This window comes from Homo sapiens, chromosome 4, assembly GCF_000001405.40.
Source record: "Homo sapiens chromosome 4, GRCh38.p14 Primary Assembly".
In the NCBI taxonomy this organism is placed as follows: Eukaryota; Metazoa; Chordata; class Mammalia; order Primates; family Hominidae; genus Homo; species Homo sapiens.
In genome coordinates, this window is record NC_000004.12 from 173691126 (window position 1) to 173699412 (window position 8287).

The following is an 8287-nucleotide window of genomic DNA, read 5'->3' on the forward strand; positions in this document are numbered from 1 at the left end:
GGTTTGTTGTACAGATTATTTCATCGTCTAGATTACTTGAGAATCTTTAAACTATTTTTTGTTATTGCTAAGTGAGTAGAAGAATTTACCTTCAAATGAATTTATATTTTTATATTTTTCTTAGTTCCAAAAAAGAAGTGAGGAATTCCTCAGTGATATAGGACAATTTTATAACTGATGCATCATCGACTTTCTTGTTAGTGATAAGAGAGTCATGTAAGTGAAAAAATAGTCTCAGTGCATGTCGTTCAAACTGTGTCTGGTGCTCATGGTTCAATACACCACCCATGACACCTCTACTATCCTCACAGCCCCCTCCATAGGCACTAGCGCTGCTACCATTGGCACCACTGTGGCGGTCGGCACTGGATATGTAGAATCCTCAATGCATCAAAGCTTGGATATGCTCCACAACTTCAAGCTGTATTCAGGATTCTCCTTCTCCTCTGAAGACGGGGGTTTTTTATTAGACCTGAAACGGAATTACTGACAGGAAGAAATCTTTCCTGGAAGTTTTTAAATCCCTCATATAAAAAGACTAATAATTCTTGGATTAATAATTTTGACATCTAAGACCAAATGACCAAATACCATGTAAACCAAAAAGTGTCTTAGGCAGATCTCAATGGATTTAGAGTTTTATTTCCAAGGTCGAAGGCATGCCCAGGAAAAAGAAACACAAGTTAAAGTAGGATCTTTCCCAACAGTGCTGAATGTCTGTCTTTTAGATTTTCCTCATTGCTATGAACTGAATTATGTCCCTCCAAATTCATATGTTGAACCCCTGATCCTCAAGTGACTGTACTTGGAGATAGGGACAGTAAGAATGCAATTAAGCTTAAATGAGGTCATTAGGTGTATTAGTCTGTTTTCACACTGCTATAAAAAAAAACCTGAGATTCAGTAATTTATAAAGGAAAGAGGTTTAATTAACTCACAGTTCTGCATGGCTGGGGAGGCCTCAGGAAAGCTAAAATCATGGCGAAAGGTGAAAGAGAAGCAAGTACCTACTTCACAAGGCAGCAGAAAAGAGAGAGCGCGAAGGGGACAGAACCCCTTATAAAACCATCAGATCTCATGAGAACTCACTCACTATCATGAGAATAGCGTGAAGGTAACCACCCCCCATTATCAAATCACCTCCCGCCAGATCCCTCCCTCAACACCTGGGGATTACAATTTGAGATGAGATTTGGGTGGGGACACAAAGCGAAACCATATCATAAGGATGGGACCCTGATCCAATAGGAATTGTGTCTCTATAAAAAGAGACACCTGAACACGCTCTTTCTTGCCCCTCTCTCTCACCCTCTTTCTCTGACACTCAGAGTAAAGGCCGCATGAGAAGATGGCAGTCTGCAGGGTGGAAGAAAACCCTCACCAGAAACCAAACTCTCAGAGACCTTGACTTCAGACTTCCATCCTCTAGAACTGTGAGAAATAGATTTCTGTTATTTAAGCCACCCAGCTGTGGTATTTTGTTATGGCAGCCTAAGCGGACTAATACATTTGCGTTCCAATTCTTGGACCTGGAGGCAGTCATAAATTAGTGAGGAATGACCAAGAATTGTACACAATATCTGAATAACATTTTGCAATGTTACATTATTCATATTACTTTAAAATTTATGTATATGCATGTCTAGACAAAACGTGAAACATGACATTGATTCTTTACATTGGCAGCTAGATGGAAATGTAACATTTGATTGTGAATGGTTTTATTTTCATAAAAATATTTCATATGATGTAGTTATATTTTCAAACATAAAATTAAACTTTATATATTTGGATTTTAATTTTGATATTGATTATAATTTTTATCTTTTAACTTTAATATATATTTTTGAATATTTTAGAGGAAAATTAACAAATGAAAAATATTTTCAAGTTGGTTACAGTTAGAATTTTTTTACACTTGACAAACAATTGTTTTTAATGCATTAGATCAGAGATCAGCAAACTGTTGCCTGTGGGTCAAATCAGGTCTATTGTTCATTTTTATAAAGTTTTATCAGAATGCCTCCACGCTCAAATTTTTATATGTTGTCTATGGCTATTTTCACTCCACAACATCAGAGTTGAGTAATTGCTATCGACACTATATAACCCACAAATCTAAAGATAATTACTGGCCTTTTACAGATAAAGTTTGTGGACCCCTGATTTATATAACAGAGAACGTGTTCACTTGGAAATCATGATATAAATATAAAATACCAAAGTGGATCTTAAAAGCAAAAAAGCAAAAACATTTAAAACTAATGCTTCAAATTTAAATACCTGGAAGCTGAAAAGTGAGCAGACTTTTGTAGAGCGTGACCTATATAAAATTTGCAAGCAGGACATTACAAACTCTTTATTTAAAGAAGATTTAATGAAAATGAGCAAAAATATTATTCTTATGAAATTCACAACTAGAACTGGCTTAGATGCAACCCTGCAATGTCAAATTCTTCATTAAATGAAGGTGTAACCACTGGCCAAAACAATGAGAATGCAAGAGATAGTTAATCCTAACAAAGTCATACTTCAGAGATGGTAAATATACCTTTGGCCAGCTCATTAGAAATTGAAGAAAACTACATTCATAAAATCTGAAAACTGGATAAGAAAGTCAGAACCCCTGGAACTTTACTCTGTTTATTGGATGATGATTCTGGAAAAACGGCTGTCATATCCTGACATGAGTGAGACTGTTTCTAGCAAAGCAAAATCTGATTCAAATCAATGAATAAATTTTTCCATTAGATAAACATGGCAGCACATTTATATTTCATTTTCAACCCAAATTCTTTCAAATTGGGAAAGAAGTTATTCTATTCTAAGTTCAAAGGCAAAGTATCTTGTCACTACTGTTATGCATTTCTCAACCAATGTTCATGATTGGTTTTGGCGAATGAAGATACTTGTCACTGGAAACACATTGTTAATTAAAAGAATGTGAAATGTTACATGCATATAACATTAGCAAATATTAGAACTGAAAATTAAAAGACTGAGTAAATGACAAACAATTGATTTTTTTGGCAAAGAAGTAAATATAGAACAAAATACAAAATACTGTTATAATGTTCTTAAAATAATATTGAAAGATAATATGTGTATAATATTTGGAAAAACACACAATGAGGCTTATTGTAGCATTAATATTTATTTTAAAAAATAAAAGCTTTTTAGATTCAGTAGAGATAATTTCCAATTTGTTAATAGAATGGCTGAAAATGTAGTTATGAATTAAAAATAATGAAAAATACGACTTCTATCTGGGATGGAGAATTCAAATTAGATCATTAACTTATTGGATAAGAAAGTGGGGGAAAAACATATAAAAAGTAAATATTTCAAAAGTCACACTGAGACATTCTTCAAATAAAAAGCAAATTGTGGTTTTTATTAGAAAATGAATTATGAATTTAATTATGAATATGTACTATCCATGTTGCTTGCTCATAATAATATTAACAAAAGATAATGACCATCTCCACTCCAAATGTGTGTGGCTACTTCATTTTCAAAAGGATTAAAATAAATAACTAAATAACTAAATAAATACCTTTAGAAAAAATGCTTTTTCTAAATTGCAAGAAACTGCACGTGATATATGCAACATTCCATTGAAATACATGGAAATTACAAGGAGAAATGAAAATGTTTCATTGGCTCTACAGGAAAAGATTCATGTACAAATAGTCTCCAAACTAAATTTAATAGACTATTTTTTTTGGCCATTAGAACGCAGGTTATCATTTCAACTGAAGAGAGATTAGGACAAATTGAACAATACTGCTGTTTTCAGTTCTCTTTATAAACACCCAGATATACACAATAAAAGTTAAATTCAGTTTTCTTTGCTATTTTGTCAACTTTCAGTTATCTATAAACTGTAGCTTTACATATATTTTTCAATTTTGAAAAAAAGTTAATTATTTTGAGGACATAATAAGTGTTTATATTCATTAGGTACATGTGATGTTCTGATACAGGCATGCAATTATAATAATCACATCAGGTTAATTAGGTCTCCATCACCTCAAGGATTTATCATTTCTTTGTCTTAGAAACATTTCAATTAGAACATATTAAATATCTTTTATTATTATTATTATTATTACTATTTTGAGAAAAAGTCTCACTTTCACTCAGGCTGGAGTGCAGTGGCTCAATCTCAGCTCATGCAACCTCTGCCTCCTGAGTTCAAGTGATTCTTTTGCCTCAGCCTCATGAGTAGCTGGGATTGCAGGCATGCGCCACCGCCACGCCCGGCTAATTTTTGTATTTTTAGTAGAGATGGGGTTTCACTATGTTGGCCAGGCTGCTCTCAAACTCCTGACCTCAGGTGAGCCTCACATCTCAGCCTCCCAAAGTGCTGGGATTACAGGCGTGAGCCACTGAGCCCAGCCAAATATTTTTAAAAACAGGTTGTTAGCTTGTGTAAAATATAAATATCTAGACACCTGTGCTTCCATTTGGAGTCTTGCTCCCAGCCTCTCGGTGTCGGGGCTGGCCTCACCTTCCTCATGGGTTATCATGAGGGACATCAGATGGGAGAAAATGTGAAAGCACATTGACTATAGATGAGGTGACTTTCTGTTAGCCTTCTCTCTACTACTGCTACATTTTAAAGAGGTCTTTGGTTGCTGTTTTTAGGAAGTGGGGCTATTGCTTCACACTCCAACTGTTTAGTATTTTCTTTTTAATTTGATGCCTTCAGTTTTCCAATCTGAAAAAGATGCTTTGGTTTGAATAAACCAATGTAAGTAGGCTTCTCCTGTTGAAAATTCAAAGAAATTTGCTTTTGGGTTTTTTTATTCTGCATTCTTCCCGGGAGAAATGTCTTCCCATCTAGAAGAATCAGCAGTCTTTTACTATCCAGACCTATTAAATTGAACGATTGATTGTAACAAAGCCTACGCTGTTATATTCAAGCAGTTGTTACATATCTCATATGCCAAAATTGTTAAAAATAACAAAGGCCTATTATCTCGAATGTGGGAAACCAAATCATTTTTTTAAAGGCGTGATTAATTGTGTGAGTTTGAACCCCTTAAGTAGGTGTGGTAAGCTGTATTCCGTGGGAACTTGCTCAGTATGTGTGCAACTATGTAAACAAAAAGTTAAAATGCAGCTAACACTTTCCCTGGCATTTATTAGCATAGCAAAGAAAGCAGAAACCAACCAATTTTTACATAAAAAGACAGTAGAAAGCTGTGTCTGCCTGCATTACTGTTCAATCTGTGGGTGCCAACTATACTCATAGAAACAATTTTTATTTATAGGCCTATCACCAAAATGTGTTCTTCATTAATTCATATTTTTCTCAGCCTCACATTACTTCTTGAACCCATCCAGGTGGTTTTTAAATGATAAGGGTAATTTAAAACTGAGCAAATTCATGTGTACCCCATTTTCCGTGTTTAAGAATAATTGAACGGAAACATCTTTACCATTCATTCAATATTTTGTTAATTTGTTTACCTTTAGTGAACCTGAGGAATACCACAAATGTGAGCATGGCTGGATCTTTTGAATTAAAATCCACACTGGGAAAGAAATAGACCTTGAACATCTTGCCAAAGGTATTTAGAAATCTATTTCTCACAAGATTAAAGCTGAAAGTCCAAAGTAACTGCAGTTTATACCAACAATACAGTTCAGTGAAATGCTGTTATATCAAACATTTCCTCATATATGACACTCATTAAAATAGAAAAGGCCTCATCTGAAGGCTTGTAAAGTGACATTTCTTCCATATAATATTTTCCTGCATGTAATGTTCAAAAATTGTGGTGCCTTGGAAAACATTACAAAGGCTTTTCCTTGTAGATCTGTACTTGTTGTTAAATTTCTTTTGGGTTGTCCTTCTGGTGGGTGTTTCATAGCCTTTTATAGATTCAGTCTATATATAATAGGAAAAAAGCCCCCTTCATTTGATTTTAAATAGTATCCATAGGAAGCAGCAGGAGAAAGTTTGCATTCCTGGGTGAAGGTCCTTGAACACATTTTTTTTTTTTTTTTTTTGAGATGGAGTTTCACTCCTGTTGCCCAGGCTGGAGTGAAGTGGCACGATCTTGGCTCACCGCAACCTCCGCCTCCCGAGTTCAAGCGTTTCTCCTGCCTCAGCCTCCGGAGTAGCTGGATTACAGGCATGTGCCAACATGCCCAGCTAATTTTGTATTTTTAGTAGAGATGGGGCTTTGTCATGTTGGTCAGGCTGGTCTCAAACTCTTGACCTCAGGTGATCCACCTGACTGGGCCTCCCAAACTGTTGGGATTACAGGCATGAGCCACCGCAGCTGGCTGAGCCCATATTTTGTTCCAATAAAGGTTCAGTCATGCCCTTCCATTTTTTGTCCAGTGAAGTGTGTCACCCATGCTGTTCTCTGCAACTAATGGAAGGAGAAATTGTTGTTTGTAGATTAAAGTGACCCGCTCAATCTAGAGAGTAACTTTACCTATTTTTTTTAATACTGCATTATACAGGCAAAGCCTCCATTTAAAGAAAGGTAACTGATTTGTATTGCAATAGTGTAACTTACCAATACCCATTATTCAACAGCCTAGCAAATGATGATTAGATGATTAAGGCAGTTTTCTACTTCACCACAAGGCTGTTAAGTTCCTAGTAACAGTTTTCTAGCGTGCAGTGTATAGGTTATATACAATGAAGTTCATGCAGACATAATCTACCTTCTACTTCTGCATATTATGTATGTTTTAAGCAAATGTTAATCCAAAAGTGCCTTCTTATTCACTCAATCATTTATTGAAAAAATTTTTGGAGCACCTACTATGTGCCACCAGGTGTAAGAGTTGACACCATCCTCATCTTTCCAAATTTGCAGACATGGTACAAGGGCTTACGATAGATTGTGTTGAAAGTTGACATCAGTGAAGGCACAAGATGTTACGGGGAAAAAGAGCAAAGTGATCTGACCTACTTTATGGAGCCAGGAAAGGCATTAGAGGGTAGACGTGGTGGGTGGCGTTTAATCTGAAACCTGAAGGATGAGAGGGACAAGTTAAGGGAATGTGTATGTTGCAAATTGAGAAGATTCTCAGACAGAGGGAAGAGCACTTGCAAAGTCTCAGAGGTCAGAGAGAATGTGGTGTGTTCAAGGAACCAGCAATTTGAGGCCAAATTTGAGGTGGAGAAAAAGAGAGAGCATGATGACAGGCTGCATGTTTCAGGCTAAGCAAATTATTTTTATTGTTAGCTAAGGTAAACCATAATAAAAAGTTCTGCTAAGTAAATTATGGAATAAATTTCAAATTTTCTCTCACACTACACATTCAGGGTTCATTGCACAGGCAACCTTGCCAGGCCTGAAATTCAAATCTGCCCCTGGCAAGGAGAGATTTCTTTTCACGGTTTTTAATTGATCATCTGGGTGCCAAGAGGATTTTGCCCCAGCTGAAGGGTTGTACAATTGAGTCTAAGTTGGGGTTTGGGGCATGGACACGCATTTGGAAATGGAAAACTTTCCCATAGGATAACAGCTCTAAGTCTGCGGCCGTGTGCTTGTGCTCCCCTCCAGGCAGGGAGGACATGCACTGCTCAGGGTTCCGAGCTGACCCAAGCCTCTTACCTCAACCCCCTCCTCCTGGTGAGAGAGCCCCACTGGGTTCCGCAGAGAAGAGGAAGAGGATGTGACTCAAAGATTCTGGGCTTCCTTGGTTCCCTGGGCTGGAAGTCAGAGAGATAATGGAATCCAGGTGTGTGATCTGCATGCATGCAGGTTTATTTTTTTTCTCTTTTTCTTTCCAAAGCAGAGAAGGTGAGGGGTCATTTCTACTCTGGGAGAGAGCCCCCGAGGTGTCAGCTGTGGCGGAGTGCTGGCGGCATCTACAGTGGGGGTGTCACTCAGGGTGGTGGTATTAGAGATAGTGGCAGAAAAATCTGGCAAGGCTCCCTGGGGATGGCTGCTGTGGACGCCAGCCCAGTGCGGAGAGGCCAGTGTGATCTCACCCATCATGACCTCAAGGTCCTTCTTTGAGGGATCTTGCCAGGAAGTTCAGTTGGCAGGATGGCAGCAGCAGACACACAGGGTGGTTAAGAACAACAAACACAGGTAACATCTGCTGAAGGCTTCTACAAGCTGAGCACTAACAGGTACTAACTTAATCCTTGCACTCACTCTAGGAGGTAGGTACTGTTATCATCATCACGTCACAGATTTGGAAACTGAGGCACAGAGCTGCTAAGAAACTCATTCAAATAAGCAACCGAGCTGGGACTTGAACACATAAGCACCCAGCAGGGTTTACCTAGAAAGTCATTTTGGGC

General features: G+C 37.4%; 1 long non-coding RNA gene across 1 annotated transcript, besides 1 other annotated feature; it reads right to left on the reverse strand.

Annotated features, from left to right (window-relative positions):
• Positions 5268 to 6467: an enhancer, noted in NCBI's record as "MED14-independent group 3 enhancer chr4:174617544-174618743 (GRCh37/hg19 assembly coordinates)". NCBI's record gives its function as "activates an origin of replication core promoter dependent on BRD2, BRD4, P300/CBP and CDK7 cofactors, and independent of MED14, by STARR-seq in HCT116 cells {active_cell/tissue: HCT116}" and the evidence as "EXISTENCE:reporter gene assay evidence [ECO:0000049][PMID:35650434]".
• LOC107986203 (uncharacterized) lies at positions 6234 to 7858 on the reverse strand. Its single transcript, XR_001741464.1, has 3 exons — positions 7590 to 7858; positions 6792 to 7001; positions 6234 to 6389 (listed from the first exon to the last, which is right to left on the reverse strand). It is a non-coding gene; the product is annotated as an uncharacterized LOC107986203 (long non-coding RNA).
• Between the last annotated feature and the right edge of the window lie 429 nt (positions 7859 to 8287).